Here is a 21,773-nt window from a genome sequence, read left to right as displayed (position 1 = left end):
TAATCCCAGCACTTTGGGAGGCCGAGGTGGGTGGATCACGATATCAGGAGATCAAGACCATCCTGCCTAAGACGGTAAAACCCCGTCTCTACTAAAAATACAAAAAATTAGCCAGGCATGGTGGCACGTGCCTGTAGTCCCAGCTACCCAGGAGGCTGAGGCAGGAGGATGGCTTGAACCCGGGAGGCGGAGGTTGGAGTGAGCCGAGATTGCACGACTGCACTCCAGCCTGGGCGACAGAGCGAGCCTCCATCTCAAAAAAAATAACAATTAAAAGAATGAAAAAATAAAATAAAATAAATAAAGGGGGAACTAAAGATACAAGGGGATAAGGAAAGATGGAAGCTGCTGCTTTATGGAGACAAGGTGGAGGGACATCACCATGAGAAGCTATAGAGGATAAGCAGTTGAAGCTTTGCACAAAATGTAGATGACAAAGATGGGTAGCTCTGGATGGTTATTTTCTGCTTGTTTGTTTTGCACCTGCTTAAAAAAAAACACCTGATTTTTTTTTTTCTGTATTGCCACCTTCCTTCTTTCATTAAGAAGCTGCTGTTATGGCTCCAAATAGGACCTTGTGCCATGAAGTGCAATCTGCACTAACACATCTACAAATGCATGTCAATCACACCTAAAGTAGAAAAAGAAAGCTCTTGTGGAATTATTCTAAAGTCTAATGGATTTTTCTTCCCCACTCTTAAGGGGCATCTCAGCAACAAGTTGTTATGGAACTGTGGCAACATCTTAATATTCCCATTCTCAAAATAGTTCAGAAAAAGTGCATGAAAATTGGGGGAACTACTTAGTAAGCACTTCAGGATAGAGAATGTAGCTAAAATGAGTAAAGTGGAGAAGGAGTCAACGGCATTGTGCACAGCATTGTATTCATAGCTTGCTCCCTTAAATCGTGTTTGGGACTTGGCTGCTATTTTGGTACAGCTGCTATTACTCAGTGCAGAACATTAACATATGGGGGAAATTGTATATTACACAATGCAGCTTCCACATTATGCTGACACCATTCCTCTACTTGTCCATTTACTTTAAGAGACACTTACTGATGCAAAGGAGACTGAACAGTGAAGGATCTCACTCAGAATCCTGTCCACAATCTGTCCAGTTTACACCTTACCCCAAAGAGGTAATCTCTTTTGTTAATTACCTGTGTATCTTCCAATTTTTTCATGATAATATAATAATGACTCTTCATTCCCTCTTTTTTTGACACAGAGGTAGCCTGTTATACAACGTTCTTCACCTCATTCTCTCACTTCACAATATATCTTGGAGATCTTACCAAAAGCACACAGAGACCTCCTGCGTTGTGATTAGATTTTCATTGCATAATATTCCATTGTTCGTGTGTGTGTGAGTGTTTAGTTAGTCTCAAATTGATAGGTGCATGAATTTTTCCAATCTTTTGTTAAGGCAAGCAGTATTGAATAAACTTGTACATAATATTTTTGCATGTGTATAATTATATCTGTAGAATGAGTTTCAAAAAATGAAATTGAAAGGTTTAAGGCTGTATTCACAAACAATTTTGAAAGGTATTGATTGCCTAATTGTCCTCCAAAAGGTTTGTCCCAAACTGGACTCCTATAACCAATAAATCAAAGTGCTTGTTTCTCCATAGCCTTGTCAACAGAGGGTGTTGCCAAACTTTTAACTTTTTGCCAATCTGACAGGAAAGACATGATATCTCCTGTAGTTTTTCTTCTTCCTCTGGTAAAAGCAAGGTTAAGTGTTTTTTCATGTGTTTAATAACTATTTTTGTTTCCTTTTCTGAGTTTCTTCACAGTTCCCGAGACAGAAAAAAGGAAAAAGGATTTCAGCAGACAGAATTTCAACAACAATTGTCTGTTAAAATTCTTTTTACTTTTTCTTTCAGAGATTGCTAGTCTCTTTCTTCTCAATTTTAAGGTGCATTTTAATTGCTAAAGAGGTCATTTCTTTGGATGTGATATGCATGAAAATATTTCTATAAGTTTTTCATTTGTCTTTTGATTTTTTATGATATTTTCTGCTACTCGGAACTGCTTTTTATTTTATGTAGTTCAGTTTATTAATTTTCTGTCCTATGGCTTTTACGATTTGGAGTTACAGTTAGATAGCCCTCCTCCAAAGTTAGAAAGGAATATTTCCTTTTTTTCATTGAAAACTTTGACCCATTTGGAGTTTATCATGCTATACAGTTGGAATTGTGCCCAACTTTAAATATTATTTCCCATGTAGTTATCCAGTTATCTCAAAAGCATTTATTGAATGGTCATCTATCTTTTCCACTGATCTGAGATCCCATTTTTATCATCCACTAAATTACTGTATGCTTGGGTCTATTTCTAGATTTCCTTTTATTTTTCATTGATCTGTCTGTTTATGTACCAACATCACATTCTTTTTGTTATTGAGGCTTTAGAATGTTTTCATATTTGGCAAAGCCAGTTTTTCTCAAGCTCCCCTTGTCTGAGGTTTAGTTGGTATTCTTTCTTTATTTTTCATATGAATCTTTGAATCAGTTTATCTAGTTAAAAAGAACACCTGGCTGGGCACGGTGGCTCACGCCTGTAATCCCAACACTTTGGGAGGCTGAGGAGGGAGGAACACCTGAGGTCATGAATTCGAGACCAGCTTGGTCAACATGGTGAAACCCCATCTCTACTAAAATACAAAAAATAGCTGGGGTGGTGGTGTGTGCCTGTAATCGCAGCTACTCAGGAGGCTGAGGCAGGAGAATCGCTTGAGCCCGGGAGACAGAGGTTGCAGTGAGCTGAGATTGTGCCGTTGCTCTCCAGCCTGGGCAACAAGAGTGAAACTCTGTCTCAAAAAAAAAAAAAGAACACCTCTGGTATTTTTATTTTTTACAAGTTAAATTAAGATTAGCCCGGAGGGATGATAACTTTATGATGATCAATGTATGTATTCGAGAAATATTTCAGGTTTTTAAAGTATTTAAGTGTTTGTTACATATAGGTATCACACATTTCAAAGTAAGTTCATTCCAGAGTATTTTATCTTTTTGTTGATATTATAAATAGTATCTTTTCTTCTGTTATATCTTCTACCTAAATGTTGATTTGGATACATGAAAACTATTTACTTCTTCCTATAGCTATTTTATTCTGCATGTTAGGGTAGAAAACAAAACTGTAATAATGGAGAAAACTGTAAATGAGATGACTCAAACAAAATAGTTTATTTCCATCTCAACAGTCCTGGGTAGGTTTATCAAGATGGTGAGTGGTTGTACTCTATGAAGTCACTTAGGGATGCATGCTATTAGAAGTTCTTCTATCTTCAACATGTGATTACAAGATCAATTTGCTTCAACCAATGATGAAGGGTTTCAAGAAGGGCTGAAGTTCAAGGTCTCTTTAATCTGTGAGGTGACTGTTTCATTTATCACAACTTATATTCCTTTGTCAAGACCCTAGTCACATGGCTACATCTAACTGCAAAGAGGGCTAGGAAATGTGGTCCGGCCAGGTCTCAGCTATACTTTATTTGTTTGAGAGAAGGAAAATGGATTTTGTGGTCAGTTAGAAGTCATTACACAGACCAGCAATGGTCACCAATAATCCACATATACTCTACTTTTCACATTTAGAAAAAACTCACCTCACCCCCTAGGGAAATATCTCATCCAGTTATGACATCCAGCTCAAAATCCAGGATCTTTAGGTGACATGCAGTTTTCTATTGGATATACACTTGAGTCCTCATGGCCCAGTGACCCATAAAGTAATAAAATCTAAATTATCACCCTCTACCACGTAAACACAGATAATATACAATGGTGAAGTGAGAACAGGATAATGGCAAAAGAAACTCTTATTTAAAAAACAGAAACACACAATCATTGGCCCACAGCAATGATTAAATCTTACTGGGTAGGAATCCTAAATTATCCTTGCCCTCTCAATGGAGTAAGTTCCAAGCTTAGTCCATCTGACTATCACTGGTCCTCTCTGTGGGAGGAACTCCTTTGTTTGTCATCCTGACCACTGGCTTTGCTTTCTGGAAGATTCTTTCTTCTCCATTATCTACCATAGCCAATATAAGAAGAAGTGAGGAGTACTCATTTCTTAGGATTGCCCCGTACAGATTTTGCAGCCTGACTTCTGTGGTTGCAATTTGAGGGCCTATGAGTTATTTTAAGCTTAACCACAGGCTTTTTTATGTTAGGCTTTATGGCTTCCTTGGGAATACAATTTCTTCAAAAACTAAAAGGGCTTCTTGTTTATTTGTTTCATGCATCAGTGACCACAACCAAAGTTCTTTTCTAGGTCTGATTCTGAAATCTTTTGTTCTAAGCTCTGTTGAATGACTCATGTCACTCTTAATTTAATGGTAACAACTTTGAGTGGGAAGAAAACTCCTTTAATCTAATTGTTTCCTTAGGCGTCTGTCCTTCTGTTTGCCTTAATACAAGGCCTTTGGGAAAAGCTTAGAGGAAGGTATTAGTTTTTTATCACTGATTTAACAAATTACCACAAACTTAGTTGCTTAAATATAAATGTATAATCTATAAATATAAATTTATGATAATATAATATATATTATATATTTATAATAGAAATTTATGATCTTACAGTTCTGTAAGTCAGAAAACCAACACTAGTTTCGCTAAGCTAAAATCAAGGTATCAGTAGGACCACATTACTTCTAGAGGCTCACAGGGAGAATCTGTGTTCTTGCCTTTTTCAGCTTCTAGAGGTTGCTGGCATTCTTTGGCTTATGGCCCTGTTTCTCCACCTTCAAAATCAGCAATATAACACATCTCTCTGACCCTTTGTCCCATCATCACATGTCTCTCTCTTACTGCAGCTGGGAAAGATCTTCTGCTTTTAATGACTCATGTGATTAAATTGGGCCCACTGGAATAATTCAGGATGATCTCCTCATCTCAAGGTCCTTAATTGCATTTGCAAAGTCCCTTTTGCCATGTACGGTAACATATTCACAGATTCTGGGGACTAGAATGTGGACATTTTGGTGGGGGGACAGTCATTATTTGGCCTAACACAAGCAACTAAAGCCATATTTCCTGTTATCTGAAATATAAAAGCATTTCTCAATCTTGTAAAGACTCACATCTCTGGACTCTATTTCCTTCAATCTCTGCTTGCAATCTGGTCATTTCTTGCCTGAGTTTGCACTTTCTTATAATATTTTGCTAAATGCAACAAGAAGCAGGCAACACTGGAAACAATCTAAATTTCCATCAACATTTGAATGAATAGACACATTGTAGTACATCCATACAATAAACTACTATATGGCAATAAAAAGGAATGGACTATTTATACACTCAACAACATAGATTAATCACAAAATAATTATGCTGGATGAAAGAATCTAGACAAAAATAGAGTACATATTATGAGTTCATTTATGTAAAATTCTAAAAAAGGAAGCCAACCTATAGTGACAGAAAGCAGACCAGTATTTGCCTGGGGATGGATTATAGGATGGGTTGAATTCAAAGGAGCAGGGAAAAGCTATGGGGGGTGACAGATATATTCATTATTTTAATTGTGGTGATGATTTCACAGGTGGATTCCTATGTCAAAACTCATCAGATTATATACTTTAAATACATGCAGTTTACTAGTTACGATAGTGAAGACGTGGAACCAACTTAACTGCCCATCAACTGTAGACTGAATAAAGAAAATGTAGTACATATACACCATGGAATACTATGCAGCCATAAAAAAGAATGAGATCGTGTCCTTTGCAGCAATATGGATGGAACTGGAGGGCCATTATCCTAAGTAAATTAATGTAGGAACAGAAAACCAAACATCACATGTTCTCACTTATAAGTGGGAGCTAAACATTGAGTATACAAGGACACCAAGAAGGGAACAATAGACATTGAGGTCTATTTGAGGATGGAGGGTGGAAGGAGGGTGAGGATCAAAAAACTACCCATCAGGTACTACGCTTATTACCTGGGTGATGAAATAATCTGTACAACAAACCCCTGTGACACACAATTTATTCATGTAACAAACCTGCATATGTACCCCTGAACCTAAAATAAAAGTTGGAGAGAAAAAAAAAGAAATCTGGAAGCAGAAACACACACAGAGCATGACGGCTCCAAAGACAACCAGGCAAAATCTGTTACTTTATCAACAAAAGTGCATTATTTTCATTCCCTGGTATTTGTTGCTAATGTAAATTTTGTTCAACAACCTGAATAGAATTAAGCAAAGCTTTGGGAATTTTTACCAGGCAGGTACAAAAATATGTGTGCTATTTTTTTGTTCCACATCTTGAGAGAGCATGAAAAACATAAATATGTGCAGTTTATTGAATATCAGTTGGACTCAATAAAGCTATTTTTAAGGTGTACTAAAAAATAAAGAGATACATTCATAGTATTGCATATGGGATTTCACTGAGACATAAACTCATGAAGGTTGGGGCCTTTGTTTGGTTCATTACTGTATCACCAGAACCTATGATAGCACCTGGCACATATTAGAGGTTCAATATATCCCATATAACTTGTAGAAGGCAGAAGAATGTCCCTATCCCCAAGATGTCCATGTCCTAATCCCTAGAACCTGACTATATTATGTTATATGGCAAAAGAGAATTAAGGTTGCTAATCAGTTGACTTTGTAAAAAGGGAGGTTATTAGGCCGTATGAGGTCCAATCTAATCACACCAATCTTTAATAAAAGTGGAAAGAAGAAGAAGCAGAATGTAGCTCAGAGAGATAGGACATGAGATGGACATAACCAACTGTTGTTGGATTTGAATACAGAGAAAAGAGGCTATGAGCCAAGGAATTCTACAGCCCTTTGAGCTGTTAACAGCTCTGTTTAAAGCCAGTAAAAAGACAGGAACCTAGTCCTCCAACTACAAGGAATTGAGTTCTGCAAGCAACCAGAATGAACAGAAACAAATTTTCCCCTAAAGCCTTCAAAAAGAGATGCAACCACACTGACAACTTGATTTTAGCCCATTGAGACTTGTTTCAGACCTCTGACCTACTGAGGCAAGATAAGTAAGGTTAGGAGGCCATACTAACTTGTCCCATGTGTGAAGCCCCACGGCTCCTTTTACAGTGAATTCTTTTCACTTGCACCCTCCTGCATCAGCACTGAAGTCTTTTGCAAGACAAGCAGTCCTGCAGGATTCTGCCAGGTGGTTACAAGTTCTTGATACCCTATACAGCCTGGGAAAGAGAACGAAAGCCCTTTGTTCATGATGTAGCTACCCATCTCCAGCCAATCAGCACCAAAAGCCCAAGAAGCTATTAGCTACAAATTCCTGCCTTGGTTGGGGTGGGTGGAGGTGTGACTGGGAAATTCTCCAGGGTCTTGCATACACAGCTAGGCTCAAGGTTTAGCTTATGGTGACCTTTTCCTCATTGTAATAGCAAAAAACACACCACCACGTGGGGATTTTATACGCTAATGATACATGGGATGCGTGTTAGACCAAGTAGCTCATGTGCTAACCACAGGTCTGCCTTTGCTTACTTGATCTCACCAGTATTTTATTAATATGTATGTACAGTTTCCACAAAGGAAATTCCCCTTAAGGCACTAACTACTGCCTCTAGCTTTGAGCTAGCTTTGAGCAGCCCACTCTGCCTCTCAGAGTGTACTTTCACTTTGCAATAAACTCCTTTGCCTAGTCTTATTTTGGACTCACTCTCAAATTCTTTTGTGTGGCCCAGAATCTGAATCTGGCCCACCAACGACATTGCAGAAGTGTAAGAGAATACATTCGTGTTGTTTAAACAGCTAAGTTTGTGGTAATTTGTTACAGCAGCAATAAAAACCTAATCCATAACTAAAAGAAGCTATGTTCTGGTCCCTAGAAGCACCAAAGAAGCTGCAATGTCCTCGGTCCCCAGTTTAGGGGAATGGAGTGGATGTTGAAAGCTTCTGAGGGGAGGAAGAGCCTGAAAGACATTCTCTAGGAAGGAAAGGGCAAACTGGGAGTGAGTCAGAGCTTTATGATTGACTACACTCTTTTATCATTCATAAAGACTGTCAGAGGCATTCCAACCAGAGCGACGCCATTTTGAGTGAGAGCTAGGAAAATGAGGCTGCAACTTGGCGGGGTGCATTTCCAGAAATATAGGTATTCCTAGCCTCTAGACATTTATGGTTAAGGGAATAGATTAATAATATTTACTAGGCCAGGAAAGGTGGCTCACACCTGTAATCCCAGCACTTCAGGAGGCCGAGGTGGGTGGATCACAAGGTCAGGAGTTCGAGACCTGCCTGGCCAATATTGTGAAACCCGTCTCTACTAAAAATACAAAAATTAGCTGGGTGTGGTGACATGTGCCTGTCCCGACTACTCGGGAAATGGAGGCAGAAGAATCGCTTGAACCCAGGAGGCGGAGGTTGCAGTGAGCCAAGATTGTGCCATTGCACTCTGGCCTGGGCAACAGAGGGAGACTCTGTCTCAAAAAAAAAAAAGTTTACTAAACTGACCCAGATTTAGCAATGTCCAGATAATCCTGACACCTGGAGAACAAAGGCACTTCTAATTTTGCTTTAAAGATAATAATATTGATTCTTGCAAAACATAGTAATTAAGGAAATTAATCCTTTATCACAAACTCTTGTAGCAGAGCACATCTTCCCATGATCTTCTTTTATCATATATATATATGATATATATATAAAGATATATATATAAGCATTGTACCTAGGGTGGACGCGTTCCTCCTCTTACTTTCTGGAATGCCCTACTCTGTCTATGGGTTAGCTCTTCTTTCACCACTGAACTTGCTTTTGCTGTGCACTCCAGCAGACTTGCCCTGAATTCTTTCTTGCACGAGATCCAAGAACCCTCTCTTGGGGTCTGGATTGGGACCTCTTTCCTGTAACAGGACCACCTTCCACAAATGGACCCAGGTTCAGTGTCCACTCTGATTCACTGTCCCATGCTGCCTTCCCTAAAGCAGGCACTTTGCCACTGGTTTCACACGTCTGGGGTGAAGAACTCTTCTTGGTTTGTCCGGAACCTTTCTGGTTTTGCGTGGAAAGTCCTGTGTCCTGGGAAACTCCACAGTCCCAGGCATCCTATACCATGCTTCATTTGCCAAAAACTGTGACCCAAAAAAATTGTGAACAATGATTTTACTGCAAAATGTTGGAAACTCTGTAGAAAGTAGTTGTATGGTATGCTGTGAAAATAGGGAATTTTTTTTGGGTATTTGATTTTGTAACACTTTTCTGATTATAAAAGCATTAAATACACATTTGGAGGTACTTGGAGAGACAAAGGAAAGCTTAAAGCAATGCTTTTCAAGCTTTGTTATGTGTAAGAATATCTTGCTTGAAATGTAGAGTCCCAGGCTGCAACGCAAGAGTGTGCATCAGGAAGAGTGGAGTGTTGCCCAGAAATCTGGAAGGTAAGAGAAAAGGCTAGCCACTAATAGTAGTTTAAATGAGTCGAGAGTCTGGTCTACATTTTGCATGTCTAATAGACATCTCAAAATTAGCATATCCAAAATCAGATCCAAATCCTCTCCCCTGGTCTGTCCCTGCCCACGCCCCTACCCTCTATCAAGTCTTTCCCATCTCAGCATCCTTCCAGTTGCTTAAGCCAAACACCTGGGCATAATCCTTGTCTCTATTGTTCCTATCACACCATACCTAATTGTGTTAATTCTATCTTCAAATGTATTCTGAACTTGACTATTTCCCACAACCCCCATCATCACTTGCCTAGTTTATTTCAATGGCCTTCTGACAGATGTTGCTACCTCCATTCTTGTTTCCTTGGTTCTATTTTCAACAGAGGAGCCAGAGAAATTAAAACATGAGTTAAAGCCTATAGTCAGAGCCTATCAGTCCTTTGTCCTTTTAGTGCCATCCATCTCACTCAAAGTAGAATCAAAGTCCTTAGAATGGGCCACATGGTCCTACCCAGCCTGGACCCGCTCACTTCTGTTGAGCTAATGTCCTGCACTTCACCTGATGACCTCATGTCCTGCACTTCACCCCTCCTTCACTCTGGTCCAGACACACTGGCATCCCTACTGCTCCTTATACTTGCTAGGCATGCTTCTGCCTCAAGGCCTTTGTGCAGACTCTTCCCGTTGCCTAGAACACATTTCTCTCAGATATTCTCAAAGCTGGCTCTCTAACCTCTTTCAGGCATTTGCTGAAATATCACTTTCTCTGTAAGGACTTCTCTAACCTCCCTATTTAAAATTGTAATATTTTCTCCCCACTCCCTGTTCCCCTTCTTGGTTTGTGTTAATTCATAGTACCTACCACCATCTAATATTACAAATTTTTTTTTTTTTTGAGACTGAATCTTGCTCTGTCGCCCAGGCTGGAGTGCAGTGGCAGGATCTTGGCTCACTGCAACCTCTGCCTCCCAGGTTCAAGCGATTCTCCTGCCTCAGCCTCCCAAGTACCTGGGACTACAAGTGTGTGCCACCACGCTCAGCCAATTTTTTGTATTTTTAGTAGAGACAGGGTTTCACCATGTTAGCCAGGATGGTCTTGATCTCCTGACCTCGTGATCCACCCGCCTCGGCCTCCCAAAGTGCTGGGATTACAAGTGTGAGCCACTGCATCCGGAGTATTACAAATTTTTTATTACTTTGTTCGTGGTTTGCCTTCCTCCAACAGAACACAAGCTCCACTGGGATTTTTGTCTGTTTTGTCACTGCTTTATTCCCAGGACCCAGAAGAGCACTTAGCATAAAGTAGATGCTCAATGAGTATTGGTGAAGGCATGGATGGATATATAACATATGACAGAGCTTGCAGTGTAAAACAGTGGGGAAAATTAGAGGCTGTGCATTAGATGACACTGAGATAATTAGTTAACCATATGGAAAAAAGGGGAAACAAATATATATTTTGCTCTAAACACAAAAATTAATTCCAGATATATAAAGATTTACATATGAAAGGCAAATGTCTCAGTTGTTCAGGCCTCTATGACAAAAATACCATAGACTGGGTGGCTTAAATAACAACCACTTATTTCTCATAGTTCTAGAGGTAGGGGAAGTCTGAGCTCAGGGTGCACAGTCAGTTTCAGATGAATGTTCTCTTCTGGGTTGCAGACTGCTAACTTCTCATTGTGTCTTCACATGGTGGAAGAGACAAGGGAGCTCTTTGGGGTCTCTGTCATAAGGGCACAAATCCCATTCAGTAGTGCTCTGATCTCATGACCTAATCACCTCCCAAAGGCCCCACCTCCAAATACCATCACACTGAGGATTAGGTTTTAACATGTGAATTTTAGGAGGGACACAAGCATTCAGTCTATAGCAGCTAAACTGAAAAATATTTAGTCAATAATATAGATTATCTTTGTAATCTCAAGACAAGGTAGGACTTATTAAACTAGACCAAGAGTCCAAAACATAAAGATTGATACGTTTAGCTACTTTAGAATGAAAAAACAAATGCTTCTCTCTTCTCAAAAGATGACATAAAGAGAGAGAAACAACAAGCCAGAAACTCCAAGAAGATGTTTGTAACACATATAACCAACAAGGAATTAGTGTCCAGAATATACAAAAAACAAATATTTCCCATAAATCTGAAACCAACCCATTTGTCCCATAGGACTGATTATGTTTTTTTTCTTTTAATAAACATAGAAATTTACCCTACAAGTCTTAAAACTTGAGAAACTTACATTTGTCTTATCTGAGTTCCTTTCTCAGGAAATTGATGATCAGGGCTCCCTGGTAGTATCAGGAAACTGAAACTTACCTTTCACTGCATCTGCTAAGACACCAGACCCCTCACCCTTCATGACTGCCTAACTGACCCCAGGCTGCCTGTTGACCAACTCCTCTTCCTTACCCCTCCCTAATTCCTGTTTTCCCATATGTAGTTACCTTTCTTCCCTGCTCTATAAACCCTTAATTTTAATCTGTTGAAAAGAGGAGACAGAGTTAAGACTGATCTCCAATCTCCTCGGTTGCAACACCTGAATAAAGCCTTCTTCCCTCACAATACTTGTTGTCTCAGTGATTGGCTTACTGTGCAGTGAGCAACCTAGACCAAACCCTTGGCATTTTGGTAACAAATCCAAAAGAAAACTAAAAATAGCCAATAGAAGAAAGTATAAAAAACATAAAAGACACTATACAGAAAGAGAAATACAACTGGCCAAAAAAAAAAAAAGGAAAAAAGAAAGAAAAGAAAAATGCTCAGCTTCATTAATAATTAGGAAAATGCACATTAAAACCAAATGCGATAACATTTCACACACATCAAAATGGCAAAAAGTCAAAAGTCTGACAATTCCAAGTGAAGTTGCAGATGTGGTTTAATGGGAATTTCATCTGCCACTAAAGGGAATGTAGATTATACAACCCCTGGGAAATAGTCTCCCCTCACAAAGTAACACTATATATACTGCAACCACATTCTAAGACTCAGAAATTTCATTACTAGTTACATATTCTAAAAAGTCTTGCAGGTATGTGCCAGGGTACATGTATGAGAATGTTCATAGCATCATTGGTCATAACAGCAAAACTATGAAGACAAACCAAGTTCTAAGAATAGTAAAATGGAGAAGAAAAAAACATGGGACTTTCAAATTTGGAATACCACACAGCAGTGAAAATGAACAAGCCAAAGCTATATGCATCAAGATGGTGAATCTCAGAAATAAAGACAAGTCACAGAAGAACACATACATTACAATTCCACGTATACAAAGTTTAAAAATAGGCAAAACTAGACAATATCCTGTTTAGGGATACATACATGTATCAAGGAAGTATAAAGAAAAGCTAGGCCTTGGCCTCTCCCTCTCCCTCTCCCCCTTTCCCTTGGATCTCCCTCTGTTGCAGAGGCTGGACTGTACTGCCATGATCTCAGCTTGCTGCAACCTCCCTGCCTTGGGCTCCCGTGATTCTCCTGCCTTGACCTGCCGAGTGCCTGGGATTGCAGGCATGCGCTGCAATGCCTGACTGGTTTTTGTATTTTTGGTGGAGACGGAGTTTCGCCGTGTTGACCGGGCTGGTCTCCAGCTCTTGACCTCGAGTGATCTGCCCGCCTTGGCCTCCCGAGGTGCTGGGATTGCAGACGGAGTCTCGCTCACTCAGTGCTCAATGTTGCCCAGGCTGGAGTGCAGTGGCATGATCTCAGCTCGCTACAACCTCCACCTCCCAGCCGCCTGCCTTGGCCTCCGAAAGTGCTAAGATTACAGCCTCTGCCTGGCTGCCACCCCATCTAGGAAGTGGGGAGCTCCTCTGCCCGGCCGCCCCGTCTGGGATGTGAGGAGCGCCTCTGCCCGGCCGCCACTCCGTCTGGGAACTGAGGAGCGCCTCTGCCCAGCCGCCCCATCTGAGAAGTGAGGAGCGCCTCTGCCTGGCAGCTGCCCCGTCTGGGAAGTGAGGAGCATCTCTGCCTGGCCGCCCATCGTCTGGGATGTGAGGAGCACCTCTGCCCACCCGCCCCGTCTGGGAAGTGAGGAGCGCCTCTGCCCGGCTGCCCCGTCTGGGAGGTGTACCCAACAGCTCCGAAGAGACAGCGACCATCGAGAATGGGCCATGATGACAATGGCAGTTTTGTGGAAAAGAAAAGGGGGAAATGTGGGGAAAAGAAAGAGAGATCAGATTGTTACTATGTCTGTGTAGAAAGAAGTAGACACAGGAGACTCCATTTTGTTCTGTACTGAGAAAAATTCTTCTGCCTTGGGATGCTGTTAATCTATAACCTTACCCCCGGCCCTGCGCTCTCTGAAACATGTGCTGTGTCCACTCAGGGTTAAATGGATTAAGGTCGGTGCAAGATGTGCTGTTAAACAGATGCTTGAAGGCAGCATGCTCGTTAAGAGTCATCACCACTCCCTAATCTCAAGTACCCAGGGACACAAACACTGTGGAAGGCTGCAGGGACCTCTGCCTAGGAAAGCCAGAGACCTTTGTTCACGTGTTTATCTGCTGACCTTCTCTCCACTATTATCCTATGACCCTGCCACATCCCCCTTTCCGAGAAACACCCAAGAATGATCAATAAACACTAAAAAATAAAAAATAAATAAATAAATAAATAAATAAAAAGAAAAGCTAGGATGGCCGGTGTGGTGGCTTGTCTTTAATCCTAGAACTATGGGAGGTTGAGGCAGTAGGATTGCTTGAGGCCAGGAGTTTGAGACAAGCCTGGGCGACATAGCTAGACACCATCTCTACAAAAATAATAATAAGAAGAAAAGTTCACTGGGACCGGGCGCGGTGGCTCACACCTGTAATACCAGCACTTTGGGAGGCTGAGGTAAGTGGATCACCTGAGGTCAGGAGTTCAAGACTAGCCTGGCCAACATGGTGAAACCCCGTCTCAACTAAAAATACAAAAATATTAGCTGGGCGTGGTGGCGGGCACCTGTAATCCCAGCTACCTTGGGAGGCTGAGGCAGGAGAATTGTTTGAACCTGGAAGACGGAGGCTACAGTGAGCAGAGATCACGCCATTGCACTCCAGCCTGGGTGACAAGAGCGGAATTCTGTCTCAAAAAAAAAAAAAAAAAAAAGAAAAAAGGAAAGAAAAAGAAGTGAAACCAAACGAAAAGAAAAGCTCACTAGGTGTGGTGGTATGAGCCTGTAGCTGAGGTGGGAAGATCCCTTGGGCTCGGGAGTTCACATGCTGCAGTGAGCTATAATTGTGCCACTGCACTCCAGCCTGGATGACTGACTGAAACCTAATCTCTTAAAAATAAAAATAAAAGCTGGGTGCGGTGGCTCACGCCTGTAATCCCAGCACTTTGGGAGGCTGATGGGGCGGATCACGAAGTCAGGAGATTGAGACCATCCTGGCTAACACGGTGAAACCCTGTCTCTACTAAAAATACAAAAAAATTTGCTGGGAGTGGTGGCACGTGCCTGTAGTCCCAGCTACTCAGGAGGCTGAGGCAGGAGAATCGCTTGAACCCAGGAGGCGGAGGTTGCAGTGAGCCGAGATTGCGCCACTGCACTCCAGCCTGGGTGACAGAGCGAGATTCTGTCTCAAAAAATAAAAATAAAAATAAAAGCTAGGGAATGATTATCACAAAAAAATGCAGCTCTAGCAAAGAGAGAGGGAGAGTGATCTATTGGTTAGGAGCACGTAATAAAAGATATTGGAAATATTCGATTGCTTAGAGTGACCGATGATTACATAACATCCTTTATTATCTCATCAATACTTTAAAATGTGTATATGGATTATATGTACACTTTTGAATATATATTTCACAGTTTTTGATTAAAGAAGGAGAGAAAAGGAAACAGAGGGCAGGTACAGACAATATTTTCTAATTTTGCTGTAAATGTGGAGCAGGAAAATAGGAGAGTACCTGAAGCAAAAACCTTTTAAAAACTTATGTTACTGGCCAGGCGCAGTGGCTCACGCCTGTAATCCCAGCACTTTGGGAGGCCGGGGTGGGGCGGGGAGGGGGGTGGTGGATCACCTGAGGACAGGAGTTCAAGACCAGCCTGGCCAACATGGTGAAACCCCGTCTCTACTAAAAATACAAAATTAGCCGGGAGTGGTGGTGGGGGGCGCCTGCAATCCCAGCTACTGGGGAGGCTGAAGCAGGAGAATCACTTGAAACCCAGAGGCGGAGGTTGCAGTGAGCTGAGATCGTGCCATTGCTTTCCAGCCTGGGTAACAAGAGCAAAACTCTACAAAACAAAAACAAAAACAAAAAAACTTATGGTATCAAGGAGTTTGTCTTGTTTTGGTTTTTAAAGCGATATATTATAACATGTTTGTATGCTCATGAGAATAATTCAGTGAAACGGTAAAAAAAATTTGCTGAAGCAGGAGAGTAGATATTTATAGATGGTTAGTCCATTTTTGAGAAAACAAGAGAGGATGGGATCTAGCCTTCTCAGGGAGAGTAGAGACATCAAGGTGGTTCTGCTATGGCAGAACTTGCTGGAAACCCACTCTCTAGGGTGCAGGCAAAAGCTGTTCATACCAGAGACACTCCAGTATAAAACCCCTTCAGGAGGGGTGCCTAAGGAAGCTGCTCACTGCTGGGTGTTGCTGACTGTGACTGAAGTAACTGGACACTAGGTAAGTTTTGGGTGCTGCAGGAGCAGGTGCTGCTAAACCATGCACTCACTGCAGGAACCTGGCAAACAGCACACCAGAACCAGGAAGCAAAATCGTTTTTCCCTGCAATGACTCTCCAGTGCCCTCTACTGACAAAGCTTCAGGGCCAGATGGCAAAGAAAACATAATTAAAAGATTCAGGATCATTTTTGGAGCTGAGAGGCAGTAAATCCATAACTCACAAACTGGGGAATGGAGGGATCAGGCTGACAATACCTGAATCTTCCATCAAATCTACCATCACTAATAGTGGGATGAGATCATATACCTCTAAATGTGATACCATAGGTACACAGCACTGCTTTTGAAGTATTCTCCTTAAAAAATTGAACCCAGCCGGGAGTGGTGGCTTACGCCTGCAATCCCAGCACTTTGGGAGGCCGAAACAGGCGAGTCACCTGAGGTCAGGAGTTTGAGACCAGCCTGGTCCAACATTGTGAAACCCCGTTTCTACTAAAAATACAAAAATTAGCCTGGCATAGCGGCGGGCACCTGTAATCTTAGCTACTCAGGAGACTGAGGCAGGAGAATCACTTGAACCCAGGAGGCAGAGGTTGCAGTGACCCGAGATTGCACCACTGCACTCCAGCCTGGATGACAGCGAGACTCCATCTCAAAAACAAACAAACAAAAACCCCAAATCTGATAAAGCCTTTTAAGTAAATAAAAATAAAAGCTAAGGAATGATTATCACAGAAATGCAGAGTGATGCTTACCTCTATAGCAGAGAGAGACGGACTAGTAGTATCTGGGTTAGGGACATATGGTGAAAGATATTGAAAATGTTTGATTGCTTAGAATGAGAGATGACTACATAGCATCCTTTATTATCTTATGAATCTTATCTAAGATACACAGGAAATAGAGGAACAAGTTAATTGATACCATGAGGAAGCAATCAACCAAATCCAGTACTGGGAACATTCTATGGGATAAATGAACTGGCTTCTCCAGCAAATTAATGGAATGAAAATAAGGGAAGGGTAGATTGTTATAATAAGATTAAGAGACATAATAATAAAATGCAATGTATTGCCAAAATATAATTTTTAAAAGTCAATGACAGTATCCTATACAAAGAAAAAGTGAGCATGTATCAAAGATGTACTAACAAGAGACTAGTAAAAAAAGAACTAGTTCAAAGAGAATTTGGAAGATTGAATATACATACACTGGACATACATCTTCTATACCTCCACTGAACAAAATTCATTGACATTGCTATTGACCAAGAATCATTTCCATTGATATCACTTTTCTACAAGTTAATGTCTACCCCTAAGGAGTACTCTAAATACCCTAAAATACTAAATCAAAGTTAAACTACCCTAGAGAATTAGATAATTTTTACGTAGGCCTATTAGAAAATGCTACAGTGTCGGCCGGGCGCGTTGTATCAAGCCTGTAATCCCAGCACTTTGGGAGGCCAAGGCAGGAGGATTGCTTGGGTCCAGAAGTTTGAGACCAGCCTGGGCAACATGGCCAGACCTTGTCTGTACAAAAAATACAAAAATTAGCCGGGCATGGTGGCACACATCTGTCCCAGCTACTCAGGAGGCTGAGGTGGGAGAATTGCATTAGCTCAGGAGGTCGAGGCTGTAGTGAGCCATGATTGCACCATTGCACTCTAGCCTGGGTGACAGAGTGAGACCCTGTTTCAAAAAAAAAAAAAAAATTTTTTTTAAGTTGAATTTGTCATTATATATTATACAATATATTTTCACTAACTTTTGAGCTAATAGACATTTAAAAGTCACCAAATTTGGAATACAAAGTATTTTAAATGACATCCCAAGTCATATAAGAGATTGGTTCAGCCTACGCTTTCTGTTCAAAACCCAGTAGTTAATGCTATTAGCATTCAAAATGCCTTTTTTTCCTTTTAAAAAGGACAGTTAAACCTGTTATTTTTTATCCTGCAGCCAGTTCTTAGCACAAAAGCAGGCAGATTTTAGTAGCACAAAATTATTTATTAGCTTATGCCTCTACCAGAAAACAGAAATGTTGGCTTAAAATTGTTTCATTGATGTAACTTTTACCTTTTCCTTTACAGATATTCATTTATTCATTCTGGCCCTAATACCAAGGTATCCTTCACACAAAAGATTCAAACAGATTCTTTGCATCTTTACCAATGGGAGTTTCATGTTTTCAAGTTTTTGTTTGTTTGTTTGTTTGTTTTTTGTTTGGAGGCCTCTTTCCAAGCACTCTAGTATTCTTAAAATCCTGAGATTCTGAATGGTATGATTTAGCTCAATATGTTTATACTAAACTTAGGGGAAAAAAACTAATATATTTTCCTTACCCATCACAAGGTTTATGCTGAGACTTCAATAACAAAAAACAGACTAACAAGAGAAAAGCATGCACATTTATTTTATCCAAGTTTTACATGACATGGGAACTTTCAGAAACGAAAACCCAAAGAAATGGGGACATTTGTGTAGTTGTATAGACAGTCAGGCAGATGTATGATTGCAAGGACAAAAGTGTATGAGCTAACGGTGATAAACTGAGAAGTTGGAAAGGCCTGTCTATTCAGTTTCTTCTTGGCATACCTGTGTGGCAGTCCCTCCCTCAGGGCATAGGAGAGGATGCCTGTTATATAAGGGGCCTCAGATGAAGGAGGGAGAAGGAGGGAGCAGGTCAGAGAGTGACCTTCCTAGATTTTGTGGCCTGCTTCAGGGAAGAAGGGGCGAGGGGAACTCTAGTTTCTATGGCCTGCTTCAGGGCAGAAAGGAGCAAGAGGTCAGAGAAACCTTCCTGTTTCTGCTATTTTCTCAATTTCCAAGGTGCCATATTTTGGGGTGGCATTTCCTGTACCCTGTCATATACAAACTCATTTTTAGACAGCGGCCTTTAGTTCCTCCTGAGGTTAAACCAGAGCTGCTCAAGGAATATACCTACTAAATCTTCTTGCTCCATTTAAGATATTTATTTCAAATGCAAATAATTATACCATACCCTTTGGCCTAGTCAGCACTGATTCACTATTTCAAAGCTTTACATTTAAGCCTCATAATAACCGTACGAAGCAGATCTAGCTACTTCCATGTTACAGAAGAAGAACCTGTGGCACACAGAGGTTGAGCAGCTGCCCCAAAGCCTCACAGAATGTGGCAGACTGGAGAATTCAACGCAGAACTCTTACCCAGCCCCATATGCTGCCTTGGCCTCCATCTGGTATGACCACAGAAATGGAGAGCTGGAGGAAGGAATTTCAACTCTGCTTCAGAACCTTAAATGAAGCAGGAAGCTGTAGAGGGGCACAAAGCTACAAAGCTGCTCCAAAGCTGTCTCCTCCAACACAAAGCAGAAATTGTGTTCCCAGCATCCATTTCTGTTACCCTTACTTGGACTTGAGAAGCTGTATCAATCAAGATGTAGTGTGGTGGGAGAGGGACTCAGTGCATGACTGATACCCAGCCAAGCAGGGCCAGGCAGCTTTAGAAATGCCCACACTGGGGAATTGAACAATGAGAACACATGGACACAAGAAGGGGAACATCACACACCAGGGGCTGTTGTGGGGTGGGGGGAGGGGGGAGGGATAGCTTTAGGAGAGATATACCTAATGCTAAATGATAACAAACCTGCACGTTGTGAACATGTACCCTAAAACTTAAAGTGTAATAATAATAAAATTTTTTTACAAAAAGAAAAAGAAATGCCCACACTGAGCTCATTTCATTTAACAAACATTTATTTACATGGAAGCCATGTGCATGGAAGACAGGTGTTGTCTCAACTCTCTTGGGGCGTACACTGAGGGGGAGGAAGATCGAAAATAAACACATTGACAAAGAAATGAACAAGGTGCTTTCAAATGGCAACAAATGCATGAAGAAAGGGAAACAGAATAATGCATGATGGGGAACTGGTTTCAACTGGGTGAGGGAGGAAGACCTTTCTGAGATGTAGACATGACTGACAAGAAGCGGGCAGCCATGCAAGGGGCTGGGGCAGGGAGTTTCAAGACCAGGTGTAAGGTGAAAGCACAGGGACCGAGGGAGAAGTGGCATGAGGGAGGTCAGAGAGTTAAGCAGAGCTGTCATGTCAGGAGCCCCAGCCCCTGCAAGAGTCTTCCATGCCCCTCTAAGTGTGCTGAGAGGATAGAGAATTTTAAGTGGGGTGGTGGATTTGTGGCTGGAGTCTGCCCAGAATGGTCTGTGAATAGGCCAAAGACCTCAGGACAGGGAGAAAACGCTTAGTGGCACAGCATTATTTTTTATTTTATTATTATTTTTTGAGACGGAGTCTCGCTCCGTCCCCAGGCTGGAGTGCAGTGGGGCGATCTCGGCTCACTGCAACCTCCGCCTCCCGGGTTCAAGCGATTCTCTTGCCTCAGCCTCCTGAGTAGCTGGGACTACAGGTGCGCGCCACCACGCCCGGCTAATTTTTGTATTTTTAGTAGAGACGGGGTTTCACCATGTTGGCCAGGATGGTCTCGATCTCTTGACCTCGTGATCCGCCCACCTCGGCCTCCCAAAGTGCTGAGATTACAGGCGTGAGCCACCGCGCTCGGCGGCAGAGCATTATTTAAGGAGCATGTTAAACACACTTTCTTCCCACACCACCAACTAAAAAAGCAGGTATCAAGAGGGTCTAGGTAGGTGCTGAGACCACCTCCAGAGCACAGGCCCGCCAGAGTTGTGCTCAGCAGGTGAGGTCTACACTCCTCTCAGCCCGGAGGGGCAGCGTGAGTTATACTGCTGGACAAAGGGGAAAAAGACAAAATGCTGGGCTGGGGTAGAAGGGAAGGACGCGGGTGTTAAATGTGGGCGTGGTTTCTTCTGAATGTCCCACCCACTCCACTATACATTGCTTAAATGCAGTGCAAATTTCCCTACCCCCAGCGGAGGAGGGGTGAAGATTCAGCAGGTTTTAGGGTCTAGGACCCTGAGCTCCTCCATTCATGAATACCCAAACAACTGTAGCCCACCCTCTCACCACTGCCTAGGCGGACGACCAGTGTCCCCAGCTAGATCTCTACCCTTAGGAGCAGGGCACTGGCTGACCCGGAGAACCTGCGCCGCCTCTTCTCAGCCTGCTGCCAGCCCAGTGCACGAGCTGAATGCCGCTGCCGCCTGGCTGGCCGGGAAAGACGGGGATCTTGACGCGGCGGCGCCTGGGACACGGCAACCGCAGCACAGGGCATGGCCCTGCGGCTGGACCGGACGCGGCGGCTGCAGGCAGAGCAGGAAGAGAGCGCAGGCTGGGCAGCGGCGTACGCTTCGGCGACGTCAGCTTCCGGGGCCGTGGACGGGGGCGCGCCCGAGCCTCCTGGAAACCTCCCCACCAAGGACCTGGGGAACCCAAGTCTCGGCCCGCTTTGTAGCCTCTGGTTTCTAAATTCAGCGTCGAGGAGCGAAAACAACCCCCCTGAACTGGGCCCAGACCCTTAAGCTCCTGGAACCTCAGTTTTTCCTTCCGTCGAATGGCGACAATGGCTGTCTGGTTGAACGTTATTTTACCTAGGAAGTAATAATTTTCGTAAATAGGTCTCTGAGAGTATTTGCTTGCTAAAATCCTGCTTTGTCCTGGAAGCAAATTTAGGCCACGTTAGGGGCGGGGACTTCGTATTTGATGTTGAGCACCTGGCGAGCGCCACCTTCGCCTCAAAGCGCCCTCGGACCCTGATCCAGCATAAGGCCAGAGTTGGGCAGTGAGGGGTCTCGAGAGGTGGAAAGGGGATTATTGCCCT

At 42.3% G+C, this 21,773-nt stretch overlaps 1 long non-coding RNA gene across 1 annotated transcript in view, besides 2 other annotated features; it reads left to right on the top strand.

The window, feature by feature from the left end:
* HCG17 (HLA complex group 17) overlaps positions 1-1,460 on the top strand; it is a 92,096-nt gene extending 90,636 nt beyond the window's left edge. The window contains 2 exon segments of the long non-coding RNA NR_052012.1: positions 1,049-1,141; positions 1,231-1,460. This is a non-coding gene — a long non-coding RNA (HLA complex group 17).
* Positions 20,874-21,762: an enhancer, noted in NCBI's record as "H3K27ac-H3K4me1 hESC enhancer chr6:30181514-30182402 (GRCh37/hg19 assembly coordinates)". NCBI's record gives its function as "activates a minimal SCP1, AML or CMV promoter by ChIP-STARR-seq in naive H9 embryonic stem cells {active_cell/tissue: H9 hESC(naive)}" and the evidence as "EXISTENCE:reporter gene assay evidence [ECO:0000049][PMID:30033119]".
* Positions 21,233-21,415: a silencer, noted in NCBI's record as "fragment chr6:30181861-30182043 (GRCh37/hg19 assembly coordinates)". NCBI's record gives its function as "represses an EF-1alpha promoter that drives an FKBP-Casp9 reporter gene in an ReSE screen in HepG2 liver carcinoma cells {active_cell/tissue: HepG2}" and the evidence as "EXISTENCE:reporter gene assay evidence [ECO:0000049][PMID:32094911]".

Source organism: Homo sapiens, chromosome 6 (genome assembly GCF_000001405.40).
Source record: "Homo sapiens chromosome 6, GRCh38.p14 Primary Assembly".
In the NCBI taxonomy this organism is placed as follows: domain Eukaryota; kingdom Metazoa; phylum Chordata; class Mammalia; order Primates; family Hominidae; genus Homo; species Homo sapiens.
Note: the sequence above shows the minus strand (reverse complement) of the source record. Positions and strands in the feature narration are given on the sequence as shown.